At 54.4% G+C, this 27,195-nt stretch overlaps 2 protein-coding genes and 1 pseudogene across 44 annotated transcripts in view, besides 7 other annotated features; 1 reads left to right on the top strand and 2 right to left on the bottom strand.

Annotated features, from left to right (window-relative positions):
- MROH1 (maestro heat like repeat family member 1) overlaps window positions 1-3,439 on the bottom strand; it is a 113,911-nt gene extending 110,472 nt beyond the window's left edge. For 22 of the 42 annotated variants that reach the window (XM_047422170.1, NM_032450.3, XM_047422189.1 and 19 more), the window contains exon 1: window positions 3,379-3,439. The gene's annotated coding sequence lies outside the window, so the exon portion shown is untranslated. Of the gene's footprint in view, window positions 1-2,742; window positions 2,802-3,378 lie in introns of those variants that run through there. The other 20 variants (XM_047422173.1, XM_047422184.1, XM_047422192.1 and 17 more) reach the window with 1 other exon arrangement.
- Window positions 3,208-3,587: a silencer, noted in NCBI's record as "silent region_19664". NCBI's record gives its function as "represses an Ori minimal core promoter by ATAC-STARR-seq in GM12878 lymphoblastoid cells {active_cell/tissue: GM12878}" and the evidence as "EXISTENCE:reporter gene assay evidence [ECO:0000049][PMID:35858748]".
- Window positions 3,758-3,957: a silencer, noted in NCBI's record as "silent region_19663". NCBI's record gives its function as "represses an Ori minimal core promoter by ATAC-STARR-seq in GM12878 lymphoblastoid cells {active_cell/tissue: GM12878}" and the evidence as "EXISTENCE:reporter gene assay evidence [ECO:0000049][PMID:35858748]".
- Window positions 4,078-4,167: a silencer, noted in NCBI's record as "silent region_19662". NCBI's record gives its function as "represses an Ori minimal core promoter by ATAC-STARR-seq in GM12878 lymphoblastoid cells {active_cell/tissue: GM12878}" and the evidence as "EXISTENCE:reporter gene assay evidence [ECO:0000049][PMID:35858748]".
- TSSK5P (testis specific serine kinase 5, pseudogene) lies at window positions 7,791-10,591 on the top strand (annotated as a pseudogene).
- HGH1 (HGH1 cochaperone) lies at window positions 10,604-13,681 on the bottom strand. 2 transcript variants are annotated; one of them, NM_016458.4, is made up of 6 exons: window positions 13,027-13,681; window positions 12,848-12,948; window positions 12,642-12,740; window positions 12,355-12,446; window positions 12,144-12,266; window positions 10,604-12,067 (listed from the first exon to the last, which is right to left on the bottom strand). In NM_016458.4, the coding sequence occupies exons 1-6, from the start codon at window positions 13,617-13,619 to the stop codon at window positions 11,903-11,905; spliced, it is 1,173 nt and encodes a 390-aa protein (NP_057542.2). In that variant the 5' UTR covers window positions 13,620-13,681; the 3' UTR covers window positions 10,604-11,902. The 2 variants fall into 2 exon arrangements, 1 of the variants encoding a protein (NP_057542.2); XR_001745537.2 differs by lacking the exons at window positions 10,604-12,067; window positions 12,144-12,266; window positions 12,848-12,948.
- Window positions 12,984-13,103: a silencer, noted in NCBI's record as "silent region_19661". NCBI's record gives its function as "represses an Ori minimal core promoter by ATAC-STARR-seq in GM12878 lymphoblastoid cells {active_cell/tissue: GM12878}" and the evidence as "EXISTENCE:reporter gene assay evidence [ECO:0000049][PMID:35858748]".
- Window positions 13,144-13,373: a silencer, noted in NCBI's record as "silent region_19660". NCBI's record gives its function as "represses an Ori minimal core promoter by ATAC-STARR-seq in GM12878 lymphoblastoid cells {active_cell/tissue: GM12878}" and the evidence as "EXISTENCE:reporter gene assay evidence [ECO:0000049][PMID:35858748]".
- Window positions 13,384-13,843: a silencer, noted in NCBI's record as "silent region_19659". NCBI's record gives its function as "represses an Ori minimal core promoter by ATAC-STARR-seq in GM12878 lymphoblastoid cells {active_cell/tissue: GM12878}" and the evidence as "EXISTENCE:reporter gene assay evidence [ECO:0000049][PMID:35858748]".
- Window positions 14,034-14,083: an enhancer, noted in NCBI's record as "active region_28090". NCBI's record gives its function as "activates an Ori minimal core promoter by ATAC-STARR-seq in GM12878 lymphoblastoid cells {active_cell/tissue: GM12878}" and the evidence as "EXISTENCE:reporter gene assay evidence [ECO:0000049][PMID:35858748]".

The following is a 27,195-nucleotide window of genomic DNA, read 5'->3' as shown; positions in this document are numbered from 1 at the left end:
GCCCTGGCCAAACTCCACCTTGTCCAGCCAGTCGATGGCCTGCCAGAGTGCTGGCATCTGTTGGTGTGTTCTTCCACTGGCGTGTTCCCCTCGAGGTCCAGTTGCTTGTGTCTTCTTCCGCCAATCTGCTCCTCTCTATGTCCAGCTGCCTGTGTCCCTGCCTTGCTAGCATCTTGGAGGTTTTTTTTTTTTTTTTTTTTTTTTTTTGAGACAGAATATTGCTCTGTCACCCAGGCTGGAATGCAATGGCGCAATCTCGGCTCACTGTAACCTCCGCCTCCCAGGTTCAAGCGATTCTCCTGCCTTGGCCTCCTGAGTAGGTGGGATTACAGGCGCCCACCGCCACACTCGACGAATTTTTGTATTTTTAGTGGAGACGGGGTTTCACCATGTTGGCCAGGCTGGTCTCGAACTCCTGACCTCAAGTGATCCGCCTGCCTGGGCCTCCCAAAGTGCTGGGATTACAGGCGTGAGCCATCACGCCTGGCCTGGGTCTCAGGTTTATATAGGCACAGGAGCTATGTATGGCAGGCCAGGGTGGTCTTGGGAAATGTAACATTTGGGCAGGAAGGCAGGAGTGCCTGTCCTCATCTAGGTCCATGGTGGTGGAGCCCTAGCCAGGGACCATGCTCTACTCTACCCAGCACTTCCCTTCCCCTATTCCATAAGGGACCACACTCTTCTCTTCCCAGCCCTCCTGCATCAGTGGCTGGATAAGGGCTCAGTGGCAGAGCCAGTAAGCCATGAGCAGGCATGGAAAATCCCTGTGCCCTGTCCCACCACCTACAAATGGTGACGATCAGTGATGACTAGCTCCTCTATTTGTAGGCTACATGGCAAAAAGTGTCACCAGTCAAAGGCTTGCAGTGAGGCCAGCACACAGTTGAACACCAAGAGCATCTGACGTGCTGAGGACAGGGGCTACTCGGTGCTGGTGCCAGTAGCAGAACCTGAAGAACGGCCCCAACAAGCCTCAGTGGCTAAACATCCACTTTTCCACATCTATCTACAGATGCCCTCGTACTAGTACACACACATGTATATAATGGGGATGTCAGAAAAAAACACAAATGCCAATCAGGGCTCTGGTTAAATTAACAAAAAGCAAACGAATGGGAGAAGGTGGCAGGCAGGGTTGATAGGGTCTTCTCTCCCTACATAGCACACATTTCTGTGTGAATGAAAGAGCTGCTTCCTTTTCATTTAATTCAACCACATTTAGTAAACACCCGCCAGTCACCATCCCAGGCCCAGAGTTCCTGTCTTGAAAGCCCTCCGGCCACAAAAAGTATATGGCTGCCACACCTGTGCCCACAACAGAGGTGCTGCACTGGGTCCAAAAGGGTTAGGAGGGGGTGTGCGAGGCTGTGCAGGCCACAGGAATCAATAGCCCAGAAGCAGTGGTGAGCCAGCCTGCAGGGCTGGGTGTGTGCAGGGAGACTGGGAGGTCACAGAATGCCCCACCCACGCGTCAGGTCCAAGGAACCTTCTCTCCCAGCACAGCAGCCACAGAATCAACTTCCAAAGTCACCAATAAGGCTGATGACCCTGGGAAATGCAATCCCACAGCCCACTGCTCACAGTCCACCGAGAACATGGTTCCTCAATACAGGCCACACCAAGCTGTGTCACTGGTGCTCATGCAAACCCCCAAAACCAGGTGGCCCCTCAAGCTCAGTGAAGAAAGCACATTTCTCATGATGGGCAGCAGTCCATGTTCTCTGCACACTGGCTAGGAGCTCCCAAGAGCCACGGGAGCCTTTCCTGGTGCTCCTACCCCAAAGAAACCAAGCTGGGTGGACCGGCACAGACAGAGGATCTCTACCCCAAATAACCCAGCTCTGTGAAAGGGGGGCTACGAGACAGAGGGCAGCAACCAGGCTTCTCTCCTGGGCCTCTGTGGACCCTGGGAAAGAAAACTAAGCACCAGCACCTGTTTCCTGACACAGGAGACAGCCACGAACTCAGGCAAGCACATGCCCCACAGCCTCCACCTCTGACCCCCTGGTGTCCCTCAGCAGTCAGCAATCAACCCCAGCCAGTGGGAAATGACGAGGTGCAGGTCTCCACAAGCCACAGCGGCCTGCACGTCAGTTTCAAGTTAACAAAAACACCTTAGCCTCAGGTCATTCCACTCTGACATCAAAGAGAGACCAGAGACACCTGTTCACGGGGACCCTGAGAGCCTGAGACTGAGCACTGAAGATCCTGCTGACGGCAGCACCCTAGGGTGCCCAGACTGTCCATGCAGCCACGTCACAAACACGTACCACCTATGAAACATGCCGCAAACAACGATTCCCACACGCATCTCCAGCCCTCGCCTCGCCGGGACCCGAGGTCTTCGGGACATCTCCATCCATGGTCATCGCACTGAGACCCAACAGCTCTAAACTCAACTCACCACCCTCACCTGACTTATCACCGGCCCTACCCTGCCTGCCTCTTACCGCATCGTGTGCGTTCACCACCATCCCCTTCCAAAGTGGTCCCTGCCTACAGGGCTGTCCCCGACCCAACTCTGCTCACATCCCTAAGTTCGGCCACACCCCCGTACCCCTTTTCTGCTTACCTCACTGCACTTGAGTTTATGAGTCTGTCCCTTCCCCAACTGAGCAGGCAAAGGAGCCCCTCCCCAGAGTGTGTAGGACCGAGCCACCAGCGCCCGCAGAGTGGTTTCCTCTGACCCTCACACTGCAGCTGCACTGACGCTGCCCGAAAATCCGACCCCCTAAGTCTCACCTTGGCTGAGTGAGGGCTGGCTCCCGGCGGCCCTGCCAGCGCTATGCCCGGCACGCTATGACCAGTCATCCTCGTGACTAGGGACAAATCACCTTCCTGCTCGCGATCGTCAGAGAATACGGAAGGCATACGGAGGCCCGGGGCACGCCGGCTTTGCAGGCTCCGGGCGTATGCTTGGCTTCCCGGAGAGAGGACCCCCGGTGGCCCCGCCTGGGGGGAGAAGGGCCGGGGACCACCGCGCTCCCGGGGAGGGCCGGGCACTGGGGACCACCGGGCTCACAGGAGGGGCGGGCACCGGGGACCACCGGGCTCCCGCGGAGGGGCGGGCACCGGGGACCACCAAGCTCCCCGAAGAGGGGTGGTCGCGCGGCCGAGACGACTTAGCGGCGCAGAGGAGGAGCACAGCCGCACAGCTCCGGCCTCTCTTCCGGGCTGTGGCGCGGCGCACACCTGAGCCGAGGTCCCCGCGACACCCAGGACCCTCCCAGCGTTCGCCCTGTGACCTTGGGGAGGCGCCTCCTGACTCGGCTTCCTCCGCGGCCCCGCCAAGGGAGCCGCCCCAGGCTCTTCAGCCCAGACTTCCCCGAGGGGCTCTTCCCCAGCGCCGCCGAAGGCTCATCCCCACCCGCCGTTTACCTGAGGAGCCGCCGCCACCTCGGCCGGGGCGCCGCCTTCCCGCCCAGCAGGGGCCCGGAGTGGGCGGAGCCGCGCGCGCCGAGCCCGCCCCCGCTGCCTTCTGGCCACCCGCAGCCTGGAGCGCGGCAGCAGGTCCCCGCCCCCGAGCGATCTCTGCACTTATTGGTCGGGGGCACGTCTCTCACGCTCGCTCCACCCCGCCCACCTTCATTTGCAAAGCAGCAGTGCGCAGACTCCGCCTCACGCTCGGCCCCGCCCGTCTGTTGAGCGACAGTTCGGCCGCCACGGCGCAGGCGCGGCCTTCAGGCTCGCGACAGCTACGCCAGCCCCGGGGTGCTGCAGTCCCCGTGTCCCCGTCGGACGCATACAGCCCTGACGACCTCCGCTCCCAGACGCCGGGGACGCGGGCTCGGCGCGGCGTTGCGGCCGCTCGCAAGCACACGCCCGCCCTGGACTCGCGCGGCCCGCCCGCCCTCTGTCTGCCCCGGAAGCGCCAGCTGGAGGCCGCGGCACCCGGAGGGGGGCAGGACTCGCAGGGCCCTGCGCTCGTTGGGAAAGAGGCGACCAGCGGGGTCCCGGGAACTCGGGACGCGATAAGAGCGATGTGAGGAAGGAAAGCGCCCGCCGCGCGTCCAGGCTGGGCGTCGGCAGAGGCGGAGGCGGCGGGAGCAGCGCGGGCAGGATGTCCACTCCTGGCCGGAGGGACTGGGCTCCCGCTGTGGGGACGGCGCCCGGGAGAGCGCAGTACCCTTTGCGGATGCGGGCGCGGCCCCTGCGGCGGCTTCCCACGCGCCTGTGGCCTTGTCCCCTCCCGGTCTCGGTGCCGCCCCCGCCTCACGCACACCAGCTGCCGCGCGCAGCACAGCCCCACTTTCACTCCGATCACAAACGAACGCCAGCCCCTCCGCCAGGGGCAGGCCTGAGTCTGTATTTTGCTCCCGAGGGCTGCTTACAAAGCCCCGCACGGGACGGCTGCCCAATGAAGCCCCGGGAATGGACTCAGGTGCAGGCAACGACGCGGATAATCGAGACTGCAAAGGGAGGGTGGACAGAGCCAATGGCCGTTCTGATCCTGCAGTCATCACTTGGCTTGACACTCGCGGGCTTCCAGCTGTGTCCTGCCACTGGTGGGAGCGGAGGTGTGCCGCAGGGGCCGCAGGCTCCCAGGCTCCGCAGCAGAGCCCAGAGGCTCAGCCACCCTGGGTCGGGACCACCTGGCTCCGGTTCTAGAGTGGCCGCTTCTTGCAGCCCCCACCTTCGACGAACTCCACCCTGCCCCCGTGCCTCTCAAGCCCTTCTGACACTTAAGCAACCAATCCCACCTGCTTAAATTGCCTGGCGCAGTTTCTATTTTTTTCCTAATGAAGGGGTGGCCTGCCCCTCCACACCTGTGGGTATTTCTAGTCGGGTGGGACGAGAGACTGAGAAAAGAAATAAGACACAGAGACAAAGTATAGAGAAACAACAGTGGGCCCAGGGGACCAGCACTCAGCACACCAAGGACCTGCACCAGCACCGGCCTCTGAGTTCCCTCAGTTTTTATTATTATTTTCATTATTTCAGCAAAAAGGAATGTTGTAGGAGAGCAGGGTGATGAGAAGGTCAGCAAAAAACGTGAGCAAAAGCATCTATGTCATAATTAAGTTCAAGGGAAGGTACTATGACTGGACGTGCACTTAAGCCAGATTTATGTTTCTCTCCACCCAAACATCTCAGTGGAGTAAAGAATAACAAAGCAGCATTACTGCAAACATGTCTCACCTCCCACCATAGGGCGGTTTTTCTCCTAGCTCAGAACTGAATGTACAATCGGGTTTTATACCAAGACATTCAGTTTCCAGGGGCAGGCAGGAGACAGTGGCCTTCCTCTAACTCAACTGCAAGAGGCTTTCCTCTTTTACTAATCCACCTCAGCACAGACCCTTTACGGGTGTCAGTTTGGGGGACAGTCAGGTCTTTCTCATCCCACGAGGCCATATTTCAGACTATCACATGGGGAGAAACCTTGGACAATACCCTGCTTTCAAGGGCAGAGGTCCCTGTGGCTTTCCACAGTGCATTGTGCCCCTGGTTTATCGAGACTAGAGAATGGTGATGACTTTTACCAAGTATACTGCTTGTAAACATTTTGTTAATAAAGCACGTCCTGCACAGCCCTAGATCCCTTAAACCTTGATTTCATACAACACACGTTTTTGTGAGCTCCAGGTTGGATCAAAGTGGCTGGGGCAAAGCTACAAATTAACAACATCTCAGCAACGCAATTGTTTAAAGTACAGGTCTTTTTCAAAATGGAGTCTCTTATGTCTTCCCTTTCTACATAGACACAGGGACAGTCTGATCTGTCTTTCTTTTCCCTACACCTAACCCCCAGGTCAACCACAAACCAGTTTGTTTCTTCTGAGGTCTAACTGTCCCCTAGGCTGGAGTGCAGTGGCGCGATCTCGGCTCACTGCAACCTCTGCCTCCCGGGTTCACGCCATTCTTCCGCCTCAGCCTCCCGACTGGCTGGGACTACAGGTGCCTGCCACCATGCCCGGCTAATTTTTTTTTTTTGTATTTTTTGTAGAGACAGGGTTTCACCGTGTTAACCAGGATGGTCTCTATCTCCTGACCTCGTGATCTGCCCGTCTTGGCCTCCCAAAGTGCTGGGATTAAAGGCATGAGCCACCGCGCCCGGCCCAAGCTGGGTTTTATTGTTGAAATGAGGCCTCTCACTGTTACCCAGGCTGGAGTGCAGTGGCACAATCATAGCTCACAGCAGCCTTAAATTCCTGCGCTCAAGTGATCCTCTCGCCTCAGCCTCCCAAATAGCTGGGATTGCAAGTGGGAACCACCAAGTCTGGCTAATTTTTAAATTTTGTTGCAGAGACAAGGTCTCACTATGTTACCCAGGCTGGTCTGCAACTCCTGGCCTCAAGAGATCCTCCTGCCTTGGTCACCCAAAGTGCTGGGATTACAGGCATAAGCCACTACACCCAGACCTTGTCCTTATTTTCTGTATCCCAGGCAATTTGCCAAACAAGGCCTGAGGGTGAGCAAAGGAATATCAAACACATGCTTTGCTCTCAAGAAGCTCGTGGTCCAAAAGGGATGAGAAAGTGTGTTTTTCCAGTTCAAGCCAGCCCATTCTGGGGCCTTTTCTGCAGCAAACATGCCAAGTGCACCCACAGATCTTGGTGGAGACCCCAATTCCCCAGACTCACTGGTCTGTACCAAGCACCAGACCCTTGCAGACATTCCCAGGATGGCTGCCCATCAGGCAGCCCTGCCCTCCAGGCCCACAGCCACTGTGCTGTCTAGCTCACAGCAGAGATGACACATTTGGGTTGGGCTTCCCCACCATGGCGGCTCAATTTCATCATCTGTAAAGCGAGGATTGCTTGGTTGTGTTAGGACTTGAGATCCCAGATGTGAACTGCCCCCACAGGCTGGGCTCCTGAATGTCTTCTGTGAACGGGGGCAGGACTGCTACAGGTGGTAGTGGTAGCTGGTGCGACTGCCCAGAATGGCACCCGGCACAGAGCTGGCACTCAAACGTTAGCAGTAATAGTGCCCACAGGGCACTCTGGGGTCCAGAAGGGAGGGGCAAGGTTGGCTTCTGTCTCTTGGAACTGTAGGATCAGAGGTAGGCTCAGGAGTGGGGCCCTTGCTTGCCCTGGGGTGTGTGGTCAAGTCTGCAGAGGTCTCTAGGTGGGACGCTTCCTGCACCTTGCTGGCCTGGGCAGGAGGTGCTTCAGGCTCCAGTGGAGAAGGCCGGGAGACAGAGCTCCTGCCTGCCTTCCTCTGGCTCAGCCCACCTTAGGGCCCAGCTGAGTGTGGCCATGGCATCCTCTCGAAGGAGGGGGTGCAGTTGAAATGGTGGTTGACACGTATGTGTCCCTTTTCCTGTCCTTATGCCCCAGAAATCCCCACCCTCATTTCTTTAACAGCTTTCTGTGGCCAGCCACGTCCATAGGGGTCCACAGAGGCCTCACCCTGGCTGCAGCCCTTGAAATGGGTTTTCACCTCACAGAGAGTGGGCCCCATGTGGGCAGGACTGGTCCCACAAGATGTCCTCAGAGTGGGCAGGTCCTCAAAACAAGAAGACGCACCCTTTGAGGGCACAATGCAGGTACAGCTCAATTCTCCACTCTAGAACCTGCACCTCGTCTCCCAGAGCTGGCCCTCCCCCTGCCCAGTCCAGAGCTGTGCCAGCCCCCGCCCTGAGCTTGCAGCCCCATCACTCCCTGCCTCTGCCGCAGTCCCAGCAAGTCTTCAGAAGTGTGGCTGCTGCCTCAAGAGGGACGCAGTTCCCACCCAGCACCCCCTACCACCCTGGCCCCTGCCCTCTGACACAAGTCAGGTCTCAGCTGTGCCCCCCAAGACTGGTGAAACTGGACCACCACACCCCCTTCCATGCACTGCCCTCCATGAAGGGCAGCAGCAGGCAGAAGCTGGATCAGAGAACCTTCACGGAGCAGGTGCGTGAGTGCAAGGACAATGGCTACCTGCTCTCCTCCAAGAAGATCAGTTCTGGGGCCTTCTCCAAGGTGTACTTGGCCGATGCCACCCACGAGTGCATGCACCACAACCCCAAGCTGTCCTCCCACCTGCAGGGCAAGCGCCACACCATGGTAAGACAGGCTTTCCTCCCTCCCCAAAGGGCTCCAGTGCCCCCCAGCAGGCCCCTCCGTGTCCCAAACCCACTCAGGCACCATCCAGCTGCTCCAGCTTCCTCCGCCTGATACTCTCCCCAGTCCCATTTCCTCCCCAGAGGCCTCCCCGGGGCTCCTGCAGGCTGACCATCCCCTGTTCCCAAACCCCTTGAACACAAAGTACTTGGCACAGGAGGGAGCAGGGAGGTCATCACTGCCCTCCAAGGGCACTGCTCACCCAGCATCCCCCCTGAGGATTCCAGCAAAGTGTATAAAGGACAGGGGCCTGCCCTACCACAGCCAGCCCCTCAAGGGCCAAATCTCACACAGCAAGCGCCCTTCACCCTACAGATAGCTATCAAGATCGTCTCTACAACCGAGGCCCCGGTGGAGTTCTCCCGCAAGCTCCTACCCCATGAGATCTGTCACTCAACGCTACCTACAAGCACCTGACCATGTGGGCAGAAGCCTGGACACAGCCTGTCCCCACCCTCCGCCTCCCCAGCCAGCTGCCTGCCCCAGGCCTATCGCCCCCTCCCACCTTGGACCTCCCTTTCGCCCCAGGGCTGGAGCCCAACCCCATCCTGGAACCTGGATCTGGTACCCTTGACAGTTCCAGCATACCCTTGGCCCTGCCTCCGGGTGATGGCAGGTGTGTGGGCTGCAGGTGCAGCTGTATGAGACCTATCAGAGCAGCCGGCTCGTGCTGGAGCTGGTGCCCTGGGGCGACCTGCTGGAGCACATCCAGGCTGCAGTGGATCACCTCTGCCGCCCAGGGCTGGAGAAGGAAGCCCCTGGACTCTTCTGGCAGCTAGTTAGTGCCATGGCACACTGCCACAGCGTGGGCATCGTGCACCAGTGAGGGCGGCACCTGGGCCGATCGTCTGCCCACATGCACAGAGGCCCACTTGAGCCCAGGTCAGCCCCACCTCCCGCCTCCCCTCTCCCATGCAGGGACCTGAAGTGCGAGAACATCCTGCTGGATGTTCTTCTCCATGGCCTTCTCAAGCTGACCGGTGAGCCCACAGCCCCACCCTGGGGTTGAATGCCTCCACCTGCAGGGGCCCACACCCCACACTTGTCCCAGCCAGGCCCCTGCTTTCAGCCCTCCCAGAAGGCCTGCAGGCCACCCTTACCCTCGGCCCTGAGGTCACTGGCCTAACCCCGTGTGCCCCCAGACCAGGCCCACCTCATCCACACCCACACTCTTGCTGTCGGCCACACACTGCATGCAACCCCGCAAACCTCCACAGCCATCCCTGCAGAGTGGCGTCCTCAAGTCCCTCTCCCTGCACCCCTGCCCCTCACGCATAGTGCCACCCTCCCCACACACCTCGTACAGACTTTGGCTTCACAGGCTGCATGGGGCCCAGGAACTCACCGCTCAGCACTTTCGGCGGCTCCCCAGCCTACACAGAGATCCTCATGAGCAGCAAGTATAGCGGGGAGTGGGCCGACCTGTGGAGTCTGAGAGCCCTGACCCCAGGCAATGGGCCGACCTGTGGAGTCTGAGTGCCCCCAGGGCACCCCGACCCTGTGGCCAGGGCCCACGGGAGGGCTGGGGAGGGGCCACACCCTTAGGAACTCCTGCCCCCAGAGGTCTCATCTTCTATGCCATGGTGAGTGGGAAGCTGCCCTTCAAGGAGCGCCAGCCCCACTGCATGCTGCACCTCATGCACCGCGGTCCCACCTTCTGGCCAGGTCTGTTCCCAGGTGAGCACCACCCCATGACACTCCCACACCTAGCTCAGGCCTAGAGAGCAACAGTGAGGGAGACCTGGACTCCCAGGAGGGTAGTCCCGCGTGGTGGAAGAGACTGAACCTGGCATCCTCCCCGCTTAGGCTGGGAAGCGTTTGGTCCACGCAAGGCGGTGACAAGTGCTGGGGAAGCTGGGCTGCTGGAGGACCTGACTCAGAATGCAATTCAGGAAAGGCAGTGGCTGCGAACCTAAGCTCTGCACTAGCCCAGGGCACACTGCCTTGCCCCTCTATGCCTCAGTCTCCCCACTGGTAACAGAACTGACCCCTCTAAGCTGCTGGCACTGTTGGCAGTGATGTGCATGGGGTGAGGGTGGGTGCTGGAGGTGATGAGAGGCTGCAGCCGTGAGCCCTTGCCCACAGTGCCAGGACTTGATTCGGGGGCTGCTGCAGCTGCACCCAAACGCATGCCTGGGCCTGCAGCAGGTGGCTGCACACTGCTGGATGCTGCCTGCAGCGAACACGCTCTTCCTCAGTGCTGTGCCAGGTGTAGTGTGGCCCTGTGGGTGAGCAACTGAGCAGCACGTGGTCCCTCTGCACTCCACCTGACCCCACTGTGGCCCCTTGCAGAGAAGCAGGTGCAGTCCCAACTCCGAGCATCCGTGGATGACCTGGAGCCTGGCACAGACTTAGAGCGCCAACAGCCAGTCCTGCAGCTGCACTGCCCCAGCAGCAGGGCATCCCCAAGGAGAATACGGGCCCTGAGCTCAGGCCTCCAGAAGCGCACCCCAGAAGAGGGGTGGGTTCTGCCCAGCTGGTCCTCTAGAGCTCGTAGCAGCCAGCCTGGGAGTGAGCGCCTCCAGGAGGCGCTCCAGTAAACTGAGGGTGGGTGGGTGGGGCAAGGCCAGATAAAGCATTTATTCTGTGAAGACAGTGCTGATGTCTGAGTGCTAAGAGGGCAACTGGCCTCCAGTGGCAGGTGGGGGCTCTGGCCAGGGGAAAACATGGTCCACACATGCCTGCATGAGTGGCAGAGCTTTAATGGGGGCAGGTGAGAGGAGATCCTGGAGGCGGGAGACGCCCGGCACCCAAGCCACAGCAGGAGACCATAGGGGACGCTCCAGTTTTAGGGTGTGGAGTGAGGCATTGTGAATTGCCAAGAAGACAAGCTAAGCTCCTTCACCAGGGCTTGACGGGCCTGGGAGGGCCCATCAGTGAGCAGGGGCCAGCCCTCAGGATCCCAATGCAAGAGGTGGCAGTGAGGTCAGGTCAGCTCAGGAAGGGAAGTGTGGCAAGAGCCACCATGACAGCCTGTGGGGCTTGGCAGCCACATAACTGGCAGGTGAGGGATGCACATAGGTCCAGGGGAGAAGCACGTAAGGCGCCTGGGCCTATAGTGGGCTCTACCACAGGGGCAGAGGGTGGCTGGGGGAGAAGCTTGGGCAGGGACTAGGCTGCAGGCACATCTGGAGGCTCTTGGCAGAGGTAAGAAGGCCAGGGAGGAGTGGCCCAGGCTCAAGGAAGCTGACCAGGGAGACGGCCTAGCTAGAGAGGCCAATGAGAGCACCCACTCAATCTGAGACTGGGAAACAGGAAGACTTAGGGAGCTGACAAGGGTTGAGGGCAGGGTCCTGGAGCATAGGTCAAGCAGGGAGGCACAGTCCTAGAAAGACCCCAGGATCTACGTATGGCTGGGTCAGCCCTTTGAGGCCAGGTCTCAGGGAACAGGGAGCTGAGAGCTGCAGGGAGTGAGGCTGACAAAGCAGCACTTGTACCTATGCGCCCACCTCTGCCCAGACTCTGCAGTGCCCTGGGGATTGGGAGGCTTCAGCTGGCTCCTTGGGGCTTGCAGTGGTTTTCTGTCCAGTCCCCACGCCGTGCCCAGGAAGAGTCTTCTCATGGCTCCCTGGCCATCCGCCTGCCACCTCCACCTTCTGCACAGGCAGCCGAGTCACGGTGCCTACCTCACAGTACTGCTCTGCACAACCTTCATTCTTGCTGGTAGCAACACTGCACAGGGCTGGAAAGTGCCTCCAATCCTTACTGGAGCCTAAGCGTAGCTCTGCTTCTCAGAAGAGCACAGTCTCTGAACAAGGGGACCCAGGGGGCCTGCAGACAGCTGCAGGAAGGCCTGGTCTGAGAAAGCCTGGCAAAGGGGACCCTGGAGCTGGTGTCCGGCTGCAGGGGCCTCAGGTGGGTGTGGCCCTCTCCACCCATGGCTCTGGGGCCAGCTCCCGCTCCAACTGCTCCTGCTCCCTGCAATCCAGCTGCTGCAGCTGCTGCTCCACATCCTCAGGCACCTGCACCTCCAGCAGGTTTTCCATGCCACGTTCAGGCTCGTCCCCAATAAGCACCTGCCAGACGGGAAGCAGGTGAGCAGCTGGCCAGCTACAGACACCCCTTCCCCAGCCTCTCCAACCCTGCACCAACCTGGATGAGCTTCTCACAAGCCGTCCGCACGTCGGGCTCCGGCTCCCAGCTGTGCAGCTCTCGAAGGATCAGGTAGGCTCCCTGGTCCCGCACCTGCTGCCGACCTGGTGCTGTGGCTGTCAGCTGAGGAGGTGGAAGAGGTTACCCAGATGTCAGCATGCTCATGTGTGTGTGTTGGGGTGGTGCTTATTGCAGCAGGGCTCCTGCTCACCAGCATGATGGCTTCAACAAGCATCTTGCGGATGTCTGCATCAGGTTCTCGCTGCTTGTCTGGTGGCAGGTACTGCAAGTCGACAGGCAGCCCTAGGGGTGAGTGTGTGGGAGCCACTGTGTCCCTGGGCTGGGCAGCTGAGCCAGGCTCTGCCTGTGTAAGTCCCACCTGTGCTCAGCAACTCACTGCTGCAAAGTTTCAGGAGCCTGTGGCCTGGACACCTCTCTCTCCCTCCACTGGCCTCCCTCCTCTCCGGCCAACTCTGAGGCTCCACACTAGCCACTCACGTTCCATCTCTTCCTCGGAGAAATCCTCAGGCCCAGCCAAGGGCAGGAGCAAAAAGGGGAGAATGTCCACCTCAGGTCCAAGCAACCACTCGTGATGTCCTGAGGGATGGTGAGGGTGGGGAGACGGGAATGGAAACTGGTCCAGAGCAGCCCCGGAGTCCAGTCCCCACACCTGGCAACGCACCCCCGCCACACCCACCACTCACGGTGCTCGAAGCAGCAATTCCGCAGCGTCCCCACCACCCCGCCCCTGCGTACAGAGGAGTCGGGGTACTGGGTAAGGGGCAGCAGCCGCTGGACCACGCACCTGTTGGGAGGTGTCACTTAGGGCCGTCCCCCCTAACTTCCGTCCCCTCCCCGCCCGCGCGGGCGCCCTGGGCTTCACCTGTCGGGGTCCAGTAGGAAGGCCCGCGCCGCAGGGCGTTGGCTGAGGTTGGAGAGCAGCGGCGCTAGGTAGTGCAGGGGCGCGCGGGCGTTGTAGCCGGGCGTGCACAGCGCGCGCACCAGCCGCTCCAGGCCCGAGTCTGCCGGCTCCGCGGCCGCCAGCGCCGCCATGAGCGCTGCACACGGCGCCGGCTCGCGACTGAGGTTGGCTAGCGCGGCGGCCGCCTCCTCGGCCCAGGGCCACTGCGGGTCCAACGCGCGGCCCATCAGGCGCGCTGGCAGCCCGGGGTCGGCCGCCAGCAATGTCTCGTGCAGGCCGGGGTCGGCGGCCAAGTTCACGAGCGCGCGGGCGGCGTCCCGGGCCGGGGCAGAGGCCGGCGCCAGCTCCATCAGCGCCTGCAGCAGCGCCGCCTGCCCCGCCAACAGCGCGCGGCCGGGTCCGCAGCCAGTCAGCGCCAGCACGTGCCGCACCGCCGCCGCCTGCAGGTCCGCCCGCGCGCCCGGCGCCAGGAAGGGCAGCAGCTTCACCACCTCTGCCTCCGGGCTTGCCTCCGGCCCTCCCGAGGCGCCAGCGCCAGCCCCGGCCTCCCCCATGTCGAGCGACACTCTGCTGCCACCCGACCGGTGCCAGCGGTCCGCTTAGGGGTCCGCTGTGTGGCCCGCAACCCCGCCCACCAGAGGAGCGAAAGCCGCCCTGGCCAATCCGAGGCTGCGCACTGGGCTCAAGGGGCGGGACCGGCGTGCGGAGGGGAGGGGCCAGGCCGCGCGCGGGGAGTTATGGGTCTCGGCGTCTGGCCGGAAGCTGCGGAGGTTGGAGACTGAGCGCTGTGATGTCCCGAGCCATGGGGACCGAGGCCCGGCGCGATTTGGCCGCCTGCCGCGTCCACACTCGCTGGAAGCGTCCATGTAGTCTCGGCTAGGTCGGCCAGTGCTTCCCACTGGGCGCTGGCCACGCCGAACCTGGTCAGCCGGCCCTGGCTTCTCGTGGGCCCTGAGGGTCTGAGGCCCGCGCCCCGGCTCCTCGACTAGGCTGTCGGGTCAGAGAAGGGCTGAATGGGGGAGTGGCCACGGGCCTCTCGGAAGGAAGGCCTGCTCTTGTCCAGGCTGGCACGGCCACCGAGAAGCTCAGGCCGTCCAGGGACAGGACAACACAGGGCCCCAGTGGGGACCTGAGGAGGCAGCTTTGGAGAGGCCTCTGGGCATCTCTGAGCTGGTAGCTTTGGGGCATTTGTCAGGACGTCTTCAGTCGCAAGTGACAAACCCAACTCAAACTGACTTGCACGAAGAGAAAATTTGTAAATGGAGGTTTGGAGGGAGCCAGCTTCCGGCACTGCTTTATCCAGGAGCTCTCTGGAGCCTTGTACTGTCTACCCTACCATTGCTCTCCCTCTCTGCTGCCCTGCTGCTCTGTGGCTCCATATCATTTCCACCTGCCACTGGCCGATTTTCTCAGAGCAGTTGGGAAAGAAAGACACTGGGACCTCCCAGTTCCATGGTCGTGGCAGAAGAGTTTCTCTGTCCCAGTATTGGAGTCTGCCCCAGAAAAGGACTCCAGTTCTTCACGTGTCCTCCACTGTGGGCGGAGCAGCAACCTTCTAGAGACACACAGACTGGGAGGAAGGGAGGGCAAAAGAAGGGCATTCCCTCACTCCAGCATTTTTTGGGCACCAGCCATCTGCCAAGCTGGTAGCTCAGGACACGGAACCAAACAACTTTGGTGGCCATTCTGGCCTCAGGGTCTTTGCACTTGCTGTCTCTTCTGCCTGGAATGCTCTTTTCTCAGCTGTACACAAGGCTGGCAACTTCTAATTATTTGTCAGAGCTATCTTCCCTGGGCAACTTACAGAGACTCAGCCCACCCGCCACCCATGACTGCTTGGTTTCTGTCTGCCTCCTTCAAGATAGCAGTACTTAGGCCAGGTGTGGTAGCTCATGCCTATAATCCCAGCGTTTTGGGAGGCCAAGGCAGGTAGATCACCTGAGGTCAGCAGTTTGAGACCAGCCTGGCCAACATGGTGAAACCCCTCTCTACTAAAAAAAATACAAAAGGTAACCGGGGGTGGTGGCACACTCCTCTAGTCCCGCCTACTCGAGAGGCTGAAGCAGGAGAATTGCTTGAACCTGGGAGGAAGAAGTTGCATTGAGCCAAGATAGCGCCACTGCACCCCAGCCTGGGCAACAGAGGGAGACTCCATCTCAAAAATAAAATAAATAACAGTAAATTAGGCCGGGTGCGGTGGCTCACACCTGCAATCTCAGCACTCTGGGAGGCCAAGGCATGTGGATCACTTGAGGCCAGGAGTTCAAGACCAGCCTGGCCAACATGGTGAAACCCATTTCTACTAAAAATATAAAAATTAGCCGGGCATGGTGGCGTGTGCCTGTAGTCCTAGCTACTTGGGAAGCTGAGGCAGGAGAATTGCTTGAACCTGGTAGGGGGAGGTTGTAGTGAGTGGAGATTGTGCCACTGCACTCCATCCTGGGTGACAGAGTGAGACTGTCTCAAAAAAAAAAAAAAGAAAACAGTACTTAAAGGAAGGTAATAAAATTTAAGCTTCATGGTGCCTTGCTTGGACGGGTCCTTTCCAAAGCTTCCCTGAGAGCAAACCTTGCATAGTGTTCATATATATAGTCATAATGGTTTTGCAAAGTAGGGTGTAGCAGACATTATTGGTGCAAAACCCACTAGGATGGCTATGATCAAAAACACAGAATTTCTTTTTTTTTTTGAGATGGAGTTTTGCTCTTGTTGCCCAGGCTGGAGTTCAATGGCACGATCTCAGCTCACTGGAACCTCCACTCCCAGGTTCAAGCAATTCTCCTGCCTCAGCCTCCCGAGTAGCTGGGATTATAGGCATGCACCACCACGCCTGGCTAATTTTTTTTTGTAGTTTTAGTAGAGACGGGGTTTCTCCATGTTGGTCAGGCTGGTCTTGAACTCCTGACCTCAGATGATCCACCCACCTTGGCCTCCCAAAGTGCTGGGATTACAGGCGTGAGCCACTGCACCCGGCCAAAAACACAGATTAAACAACTGTTGATGAGGATGTGGAGAAATTGGAACCCACATACACTGCTGGTGAGACTGTAAAATGGAGCCGCCACTGTGGAAAACATTTTGTCAGCTCCTCAAAAAGTCAGACATTTGCTGGGCATGGTGGCTCGCGCCTATAACCCCAGCACTTTGGGAAGCTGAGGCTGGTCGATCACAAGGTTAGGAGTTCGAGACCAGAGTGACCAGCATGATGAAACCCCATCTCTACTAAAAATACAAAAATTAGCCAGGCACGATGGCACGCGCCTGTAATCCCAGCTACTCAGGAAGCTAAGGCAGGAGACTCACTTGACCCCAGGAGGCAGAGGTTGCAGTGAGCCAAGACGGTGCCACTGCACTCCAGCCTGGATGACAGAGCCAGACTCCATCTCAAAAAAAAAAAAAAATCAAAAAAACGCAAACAGAGTTATCATATAACCCAGCAATTCCACTCCCAGGCATCTAGTCAAGAGAAATGAAAACTGAAAACCACACAGAAACGTGAACGTGTACAAGCAGCATTATTCATAGTGGTCAAAAGGTGGAAACAACCCAAATGTCTGTCAACTGACGAATGGAAAAATAAACAGATAAATCCATGCAAAGGGATATTATTCAGCCATAAAAAGGAGCAAAGTACTGACATATGCTGCAACACATATGAACTCCAAAATCTTACGCTAAATGAAAGAAAGAAATCACAAGAGATCACATATTTTATGATCCCATTTATAAGACACGTCCGGAATAGTCAGTTCATAGAGACAGAAAGTAAATTAGCAGTTGTCAAGGGAAGGGTAGGGTAAGGGGAGTAGGAGTGACTGTTAGTGGGTGCTATGGACCGAACAGTGTCCCTCCAAAAAATGCATATGCTGAAGTCCTAACCCCAGTGTGACTGTGTTTAGAGATGGGGCCTCTAAGGAAGTGGAAGGGCACTCACCAAAAACCAAATCTGTCAGTACTTTGATCCTGGACTTCTTCCTAGTCTCCAAAAATGTGAGAAAATACATTTCTATTGTTTAAACCACCTAGTCTATGGTATTTTGTTATGGCAACCTGAGCTGACTGAGACAATGGGTTTGGGCTTTCTTTTTTGGATGTTGAAAATGTTGTAAAATTAGATTATGCTGGTAGTTGCACAACTGTGAATATTTAAATTGTAAATATTCTAAACATTTAAATTGTACTAAAACATTTAAATTGTACACTTTAAATGGGTTGATTGTATTTGAACTATATATCAAAGCTGTTAAAAAGACGGCACCCATGTAACATTTGGGACACGTTGATACCAAAAAGTATTTGTTGTTTGTCTGAAATTCAAATTTAACTGTATCCTGGACAGTAAATTTTGAATTTCAGACAAATAGTAAATACCGTATCCTCTATTCGAATTTAACTGGGTATCCTGTATTTTATCTGGCAACCCTATTTGCAGCCTGTTGGCTTTCTGGCAGTCACCCATGAGCCCACAGACAACTCTCTGTTTAGGAGAGAAAAATACCTTCCTGAATACTGAGGAAACCCATGATGTCACCCAAACTGATCAACTGATGTCACTAATGAATGTGAACAAAAACCAAGAATCACTAGATATTAAGTAAACCAAAGGCATATACCTATTTACAGAGGTAACACAGTATGTGAAGCAGAAGGGAACTTTTTTTTTTTTTTTGAGATGGAGTCTGGCTCTGTCGCCCAGGCTGGAGTGCAGTGGTGCGATCTTGGCTCACCCAAGCTCCGCCTCCTGGGTTCACACCATTCTCCTGCCTCAGCCTCCCGAGTAGTTGGGACTACAAGCGCCTGCCAGCACGCCCGGCTAATTTTGTTTTGTGTTTTTTGTTGTTGTTGTATTTTTAGTAGAGACAGGGTTTCACTGTGTTAGCCAGGATGGTCTTGATCTCCTGACCTTGTGATCCACCCTCCTCGGCCCCCCCGGGATTACAGGCGTGAGCCACCACACTTGGCCGGGAACTTTTATTTATTTATTTATTTATTTATTTTTTGAGGTGGAGTCTCGCTCTATCGCCCAGGCTGGAGTGCAGTGGTGCGATCTTGGCTCACTGCAGCCTCCACCTCTCAGGCTCAAGTGATCCTCCCACCTCAGCCTCCTGAGTAGCTGGGACCACAGATGTGTGCCACCATACCTGGCTAATTTTTTTTTTTTTAGATGGAGCCTCTCTCTTTCACCAGGCTGGAGTGCAGTGGCATGATCTTGGCTCACTGTAACCTCCGCCTCCTGGGTTCAAGTGGATTCTCCTGCCTCAGCCTCCAGAGTAGCTGGGATTACAGGCACCCACCACCATGCCCAGCTAATTTTTGTATTTTTTTTCTTTTTTTTTGAGGCAGAGTCTCGCTCTGTTGCCCAGGCTGGAGTGCAGTGGCGCAGTCTCGGCTCACTGCAAGCTCCGCCTCCCACATTCACGCCATTCTCCTGCCTCAGCCTCCCGAGTAGCTGGGACTACAGGCGCCTGCCACCACGCCCAGCTAATTTTTTGTATTTTTTTTAGTAGAGACAGGTTTTCACCATGTTGGCCAGGATAGTCTCAATCTCCTGACCTCGTGATCTGCCTGTCTTGGTCTCCCAAAGTGCTGGGATTACAGGCGTGAGCCATGGCGCCTGGCCTAATTTTTGTATTTTTTTTTAATAGAGACAGGGTTTCACCACATTGGCCAGGATGATCTGGATCTCTTGACCTCGTGATCTGCTCACCTCGGCCTCCCAAAGTGCTGGGATTACAGGCGTGAGCTACCGCGCCCGGCCAATTTTTTGTATTTTTTGCTGAGACAGGGTTTCACCATGTTACCCAGACTGGTCTCGAACTCTTGAGCTCAAGTGGTCTGCCTGCCTTGGCCTCCCAAAGTGCTGGGATTACAGGTGTGTGCCACCATGCCTGGCCAGAACTTTTAAAGAATTCTAGTTACTATGCTCTGAAAATTCAGGAAAATACTGCAGCCATAAAACAAGAACAGATGTCATGATAAAGGAGCAATCAAAGAACAAAGATATATTGAACACTGAAATCATGATTGCTGAATTTAAAACCAATGGGAGAGCTGGGCCCAGTGGCTCATGCCTGTAATCACAGCACTTTGGGAGGCTGAGGCGGGCAGATCACGATGTCAGGAGTTCAAGACCAGCCTGGCCAACATGGTGAAACCCTGTCTCTACTAAAAATACAAGAAATTAGCCAGGCACAGTGTTGCGTGCCTGTAATCCCAGCTACTTGGGAGGCTGAGGCAGGGGAATTATTTGAACCTCGAAGGCGGTGGAGGTTGCAGTGAACCAAGATGGTACCACTGCACTGCAACCTGGGGGCAGAGTGAAACTCTGTCTCAAAATAAACAAATACAATACAATATAATACAATACAACACAACAAAACCAGTGGAAGATTGAATATGGCTGAAGATTGAATTAGTGTTTGACAAGTTAAAGTCGAGAGTATATCCAAAACGAAAGACAAAATAGGGCTGGGCACAGTGGCTCACACCTATAATCCCAGCGCTCTGGGAGGCCAGGGTGGGCAGATCACTTGAGGTCAGGAGTTTGAGACCAGCCTGGCCAACATGGTGAAACCCTATCTCTACTAAAAATACAAAAGTTAGACTGGCGTGGTGACGTATGCTGTAATCCCAGCTATTTGGGAGGCTGAGGCAGGAGAATCGCTTCAACCTGGGAGGCAGAGGTTGCAATGAGCCAAGATCGTGCCACTGCACTCCAGCCTGGGTGACAGAGTGAGACTCCATCTCTAAATAAATAAATAAAAGGACAAAGAGGAAAAACATGAGAGGAAAATTAGAAGTTACAAGAAATCTAATATGTCTGTAATAGACAAGAAAAAACTCAACATATGGAAAAAATAATTAGGAGAGACTTTTCTCCTCTAGCCATATAGTAGACCAAATATTCTAAAAAAACCTTCTTACTACAATCTAGAAATGCAAGAGAAGATACAAGAAACATCCTTTAAAATATAAACTGAGCTTATAAGGAAGTCAAGGAAACCTTCAAGAGCTCAAAATGAATGGGAAGTGTAGTGAATTGCAATTTTGCCTTGGCATCTATTTTGAATATAAGTTGGATTTTCTCATTCCAAAATCAAGGCTCAGTCACCCTTGTCACAGTTTCCAGTTCTCCACCTCCTCCAGTTCTTCAATGGGATTGACCCAGGTATCTGCCTCATTCAACCACCTCCTGGTTGAATAAGGGACATCTACATACAACCTAGTTGACTTGCCCCAGAGACCCCTACACCCTGCATAGACTGCGTAGATATGCTGCTGCAATGACCACCTCTCAGTCACAACACAAATCCACAGAACTCATTCCTGCTTGCTCTGAGAACACCAATTAGAACTCCCCATGGAGGCCGGGTGCGGTGGCTCCCGCCTGTAATCCCAGCACTCTGGGTGGCCGGACGGGCAGATCACGAGGTCAGGAGTTTGAGACCAGCCTGGCCAACATAGTGAAACCCAGTCTCTACTAAAAATACAAAAATTAGCCAGGTGTGGTGGCACACGTCTGTAGTCCCAGCTACTTGGGAGGCTGAGGCGGGAGAATCTCTTGAACCTGGGAGGCAAAGGTTGCAGTGAGCTGACTGTGCTATTGCACTCCAGCCTGGGTGACAGAGTGGACTCCGTCTCAGAAAAAAAGGACTCACCATGGAAACCTGCCTGGGTAAGTAACACCTGGACTCCAGGAAAGGCTTTGGCCCATGGGCCCCTCTCTTTCCTTCCTTCCTTCCTTCCTTCCTTCCTTCTTTCTTTTTTGTTTTAATGGCATCTCACTCTGTTGCCCAGACTGGAGTACAGTGGCGCAATCTTGGCTCACTGCAACCTCCGCCCTCTGGGTTCAAGCAATTCTCTTGCCTCAGCCTCTGGAGTAGCTGGGATTACAGGTGACCGCCCTCACGCCCGGCTAATTTTTGTGTTTTTAGTAGAGACAGGGTTTCGCTATGTTGGTTAGGCTGGTCTCAAACTCCTGACTTCAGGTCATCCACCTGCCTCGGCCTCCCAAAGTGCTGAGATTACAGGCGTGAGCCACTGCACCTGGCCAAAGGTACATGCTTATAATAACCTACTTTCACTCATTATTATGTTTGTGGGATTCATGATTTTCATTGCTGTGCAGTATTCCATTGTGTGAGTATCTCAGGATGTATACATCCATTTTCGTGTTTCTGGACATTAGGATTATTTCCAATTTTTGCTATTATGAAAAATGCTGCTAAGAACCTTATTTAACGTCTCCAGGTGTACATGTGCAAGAGTGTCTCTAGGATCAGGGCTACGCACATATTCACTTTTACGTGCTTATGCCAGATAACTTTCCAAAAGGGTCGTGGCAATTTACCTTCTGCAGCGACTTCTGATACTAACTACCTGGAGTTAGGCCCCACTTCACAAGTTGAGGGGACAGTCTTCCACAAAACTGTTCTCACTTTAGACACCAGCCACAAGTTTGGGGATTTCCAGGGCCACCCTAACCTCCAACCAACTGGCTACAAATTCAGAGGTCCTCATTACCCACTCAGGCTTGATAAGTTACTAGAACAACAGCTCATAAAACTCAAAGAAGGGTCGCAGCCTGGGCAACACAGTATGACCCCCATCTCTACAAAAACATTAAAAAAAATTAGCCAAGGGCCAGGTGCAGTGGCTCACACCTGTAATCCCAGCACTTTGGGAGGCCAAGGCAGACAGATCACTTGAGGCCAGGAGTTTGAGACCAGCCTGGCCAACATGATGAACCCCCCTCTCTACTAAAAATACAAAAATTAGCCGGGCATGGTGGTGTGTGCCTGTAATTCCAGCTACTCAGGAGACTGAGGCATAAGAATCACTGAAACATGGGAGGCAGAGTTTGCTGTGAGCCGGGATCGTACCACTGCACTCCAGCCTGAACAATAGAGTGAGACTCTGTCTCAAAAAAAAAAAAAAAAAAAGAAAAGAAGAACAAAAAGAAAAAGAAAAAAAAATTAACCAGGCATGGTGGTGTACACCTGTAGTTCCAGGTATTCCGGAGGCTGAGGTGGGAGGATCACTTGAGCCCAGGAGGTCGAGGCTGCAGAGAGCCATGTACTCCAGCCCAGGTGACAGAGAGAGACCTTGAATCAAAAAATAGATAGGTTGATAGGTAGAGAGTTATATGATAGATAGATAGATAGATAACATAAATTTCAAAAATTAAAAAAAATTCTCTAAGGCTGGGCGCCTTTTAATTTTTATATATAGTTGTATTCATTTGCTAAGATTTTGTTTAGAATTTTCGCATCTATGTCCACAAGGAATATTTTGTCTGTGGTTTTCCTTTTTTTGGTAATGTCTTTTTCTGGTTTTGGTATCAGGGAAATGTTGACCTCAGAAGGATTGGGAAAATATTTCCTCCTCTTAAATTTTCTGGAAGAGCTTGTGTAGAACTCTTATTATTTCTTCCCTAAACATTTGGTGGAACTCTCCAGCAAAGCCACCTGGGCTGAAATTTTCTTTCTGGGAATATTTTCTACTAAAAATTCAATTCCTTTAATAGATATATGGCTATTCAGGTTTTTTTTCCTTAGGTGACTTTTGGTAGTTTTTGTGTTTCAAGGAATTGGTCCATTTCAACTAAATTGTCAAATTAATTGGCATAAAGTTGTTCATAACATCATTGCCATATTATCCTTTTGGTATCTATAGAATCTGTAGTGATGGCCGGGCGCGGTGGCTCACGCCTGTAATCCCAGCACTTTGGGAGGCCGAGGCAGGGGGATCACGAGGTCAGGAGTTTGAGACCATCCTGGCTAACACGGTGAAACCCCGTCTCTACTAAAAATACAAAAAAAAAGTTAGCCAGGCGTGGTGGCGGGCACCTGTAGTCCCAGCTACTCGGAGAGGCTGAGGCAGGAGAATGGCGTGAACCCTGGAGGCGGAGCTTGCAGTGAGCTGAGATCGTGCCACTGCACTCCAGTCTGGGCAACAGAGGAGACTCTGTCTCAAAAAAAAAAAAAAAAAAAAAAGAGAATCTGTAGTGATGTCACTCTCTCATTTGTAGTGATTGCACCCTCTCATTACTGATATTGGTAATTTGTGTCTTCTTTCTTGTCAGTTTCACCAGAGGTTTGTCAATTTGTTGGTCTTTTGAAAGAACCAGCTTTTGGATCCATTTATGTTTCTCCATTGTGTTCTTTTTCTTTTTCTTTTCTTTTCTTTTCTTTTTTTTTTTTTTTTTTGAGGCAGAGTCTCACTCTGTTGCCCAGGCTGGAGGGCAATGGCATAATCTCAGCTCACTGCAACCTCTGCCTCCCAGGTTCAAGTGATTCTCCTGCATTAGCCTCCCAAGTAGCTGGGATTACAGGTACCTACCACCATCCCCGGCTGATTTTTTGTATTTTTGGTAGAGACGGCGTTTTGCCATGTTGGCCAGGCTGGTCTTGAATTCCTGACCTCAGGTGATCCACCTGCCTCAACCTCCCAAAGTGCTGGGATTACAGGAGCGAACCACTGTGCCTGGCCTGTGTTCTTTTTCTATTTCACTTATTACCACCTTGACCTTACTATTATTTCCTTTCTTCTGCTTACTTTGGGTTTAGTTTGCCTCTTTCTTTCTTTTTTTAGATGGAGTTTCACTCTTGTTGCCCAGGCTGGAGTGCAATTTCATGATCTCGGCTCACTGCAACCTCTGCCTCCTGGGTTCAAGCAATTCTCCTGCCTCAGCCTCCGAGTAGCTGGGATTACAGGCGCCCACCACCACGCCTGGCTAATTTTGTATTTTTAGTAGAGACAGGGTTTCTCCACATTGGTCAGGCTGGTCTCGAACTCCCGACCTCAGGTGATCCACCCACCTCGGCCTCCCAAAGTGCTGGGATTACAGGCATGAGCCACCACGCCAGCCATTCTCTTTGTAGTTTCTTTTTTTTTTTTTGAGACGGAGTCTCACTCCATCACCTAGGCTGCAGTGTGGTGGCGCTATCTCAGCTCACTGCAAGCTCTGCCTCCCGGGTTCACGCCATTCTCCTGCCTCAGCCTCCCGAGTAGCTGGAACTACAGGTGCCCGCCATCATGCTCTGCTAATTTTTTTTTTTGTATTTTTTAGTAAAGACAGGGTTTCACCGTGTTAGCCAGGATGGTCTCGATCTCCTGACCTCATGATCTGCCCGCCTCGGCTTCCCAAAGTGCTGGGATTACAGGCGTGAGCCACTGCAGCCGGCCCCTAGTTTCTTGAAGTAGAAGCTGAAGTCACAGATTTGAGACCTTCCTTCTATTCTAATGTAGGCTTGTTATTTTTATCCATTTATTCCTTGATTTATGGGTTATTTGTTGTTATAATCCCCTTACCAGCTTGATGTTATTTTTTACTTTTTGAGACAGAGTCTTGCTCTGTCACCCAGGCTGGAGTACAGTGGCGTGATCTCGGCCCACTGCAACCTCTGCCTCCCGGGTTCAAGCAATTCTCCTGTCTCAGCCTCCCGACTAGCTGGGACTACAGGCGTGAGCCACGGTGCCCGGCCTGATGTTATTTGTATTTCACACGAAAGACTGGGAGGAAGCCACTCACAGAGCAGCACATCATACAGTCCAAGAGCTGGGACTCACCCCTGGGGAAGACCGAGGAAGGGCACTTCATCGTCTCAATCCCAATTTAAATTTGCATGAAAACCCCATGGAAACTGAGGAAGAGGGTCTGAGTCCAAGGCAGTGTCCATCCTCCAAAGGAAAGCACAGGCTTGAGACTCACAGACCCAGGGAATATGTACTGTGCATAATTAGGTAAATCATGCCCTCTGGTGGCTACTTTTGACTGAGACAAAAGTGTGCACCTTCAGGGCCCGCTGGTGTCCAGCAGCGATGAGAAAGCCCTGGCTTTGATGGTGTCAGGAGTGTCCACAATCACCACCAGGTGGGGAGCCTTAACAATTCCCGACATAAATGGAAAGATCCAAACTTTTCGGAACTAATTTCAAAGTTACAGGCTGGGCATAGTGGCCCGTGCCAGTAGTCTCAGCTACTCAGTAGGCTGAGGCAGGGAGGATCGCTTCAGCCCGGGAGGTCGAGGTGGCAGTAGCTGTGGTTGTACCACTGCTCTCCAGCCTGGACAACTGAGCGAGACCCCATTAAAAAAAAAAGTTACAGAATAGTTACAAGAACTGTACAAAGAACTCCCATATACCCTTGGCCCACAGACCTCAATGAAGTTCCCAAATCACACCTGTTGCCATGACGATGACCTTTCCGCAAAAGGTGTGTCTGAGTCTCTTCCGTCTCCTTCAGTAAGGAACAGTTCTTCAGCCTTTGACTTCCTTCTCTGGACTCTTAACGACCAGCGACCAGCTGCTGGTAGAATATTCCCCGCCGAGGGCTGTCCGGTACAATATTCCTCCGCCGCGGGCTGTCCGGTAGAATATTCCCCGCCGCGGGCTGTCCGGTACAATATTCCTCCACCGAGGGTTGTCAGGTAAAATATTCCTCCACCGAGGGCTGTCAGGTAGAATATTCCCCCTCCGCGGGCTGTCCGGTAGAATATTCCTCCACCGCGGGCTGTCCGGTACAATATTCCTCCACCGCGGGCCGTCAGGGAGAATATTCCTCCACCGAGGGCCGTCCGGTAGAATATTCCCCGCCGCGGGCCGTCCGGTAAAATATTCCTCCACCGCGGGCTGTCCGGTAGAATATTCCTGCAGTGCGGGCTGTCCAGTAGAATATTCCCCGCCGCGGGCTGTCCGGTAGAATATTCCTCCTCCGCGGGCTGTCCGGTACAATATTCCTCCACCGCGGGCTGTCAGGTAGAATATTCCTCCACTGCAGGCTGTCTGGTTGCCCCATGGTTTTGTTCAGTTGCACATTTTGGGCAGTAGCAACCCAGGGGTGAAGCTGGATTCTTTTTTTGGCATCACAAAAGAACCAGGTGGCATGCGATGCCAGTTTGTGCCAGGACTGGTGATGCTCATCTTGATCCCTTGATTAAGGTGGAGGTGGCCAGGCTTCTCCACTGCCAAATCATTCTTCTCCTCTTTGTATTGAATGCATAGTTCATGGGGAGATCCTTTGAGACTTTGTATACCTATTCCTTTTCCAACTTTCTCCCACTAGTTTTGGATTGTTTATATCTCTGAATTAATTATCACCATGATGATTGCTAAATGGTGATTTTCTTTCTTCCTTTTTTTTTTTTTTTTGAGACGGAGTCTTGCTCTGTCGCCCAGGCTGGAGTGCAGTGGCGCGATCTTGGCTCACTGCAAGCTCCACCTCCTGGGTTCACGCCATTCTCCTGCCGCAGCCTCCCGAGTAGCTGGGACTACAGGCACCCGCCATTGCACCTGGCTAAATTTTTTTTTGTATTTTGGTAGAGACGGGGTTTCACCGTGTTAGCCGGGATGGTCTTGATCTCCTGACCTGGTGATCCTCCTACCTTGGCCTCCCAAAGTGCTGGGATTACAGGCATGAGCCACCGCGCCCGGCCTCTTTCTTTCTTTTTTTTTTGAGGCAGAGTCTCACTCTGTCGCCCAGGCTGGAGGGCAATGGCGTAATCTCAGCTCACTGCAACCTCTGCCTCCCAGGTTCAAGTGATTCTCCTGCATTAGCCTCCCAAGTAGCTGGGATTACAGGTACCCACCACCATCCCCGGCTGATTTTTTGTATTTTTGGTAGAGACGGCATTTTGCCATGTTGGCCAGGCTAGTCTTGAAGTCCTGACCTCCGGTGATCCACCCGCCTCAACCTCCCAAAGTGCTGGGATTACAGGAGCGAACCAGTGTGCCTGGCCTAAGTGGTGATTTCCTTTTTTTTTTTTTTGAAACTGAGTTTCGCTCTTGTCGCCCAGGCTGGAGTGCAGTGGCACGATCATGGCTCACTGCAACGTCTGCCTCCTGGGTTCAAGCGATTCTCCTGCCTCAGTCTCCCAAGCAGCTAGGATTATAGGCGCCCACCACCACACCCAGCTAATTTTTTGTATTTTTAGTAGAGATGGGGTTTTACCATGTTGGCCAGGCTGGTCTCAAACTCCTGACCTTGTGATCCGCCTGCCTCGGCCTTCCAAAGTGCTGGGATTAGAGGTGTGAGCTACCGCACCCAGCCTAAGTGGTGATTTTCTAATCCCATCATTGATTGTAGGGAAAAGCTTTATCTTAACCTATTTATTTTTATCAGTGAGGACTC

This window comes from Homo sapiens, chromosome 8 (assembly GCF_000001405.40).
Source record: "Homo sapiens chromosome 8, GRCh38.p14 Primary Assembly".
In the NCBI taxonomy this organism is placed as follows: Eukaryota; Metazoa; Chordata; class Mammalia; order Primates; family Hominidae; genus Homo; species Homo sapiens.
The sequence above is the reverse complement of the archived record's forward strand: the minus strand, read 5'-3'. Positions and strand labels throughout refer to the sequence as shown.

Coding starts and splice junctions, on each gene's coding strand:
- HGH1 (NM_016458.4), bottom strand. CDS start 13,619: ATGGGGGAGGCCGGGGCTGGCGCTGGCGCCTCGGGAGGGCCGGAGGCA. Junction 12,949..13,026: donor TTCCTACTGGACCCCGACAG/GTGAAGCCCAGG, acceptor ACCTCCCAACAG/GTGCGTGGTCCAGCGGCTGC. Junction 12,267..12,354: donor TTGTTGAAGCCATCATGCTG/GTGAGCAGGAGC, acceptor CCACCTCCTCAG/CTGACAGCCACAGCACCAGG.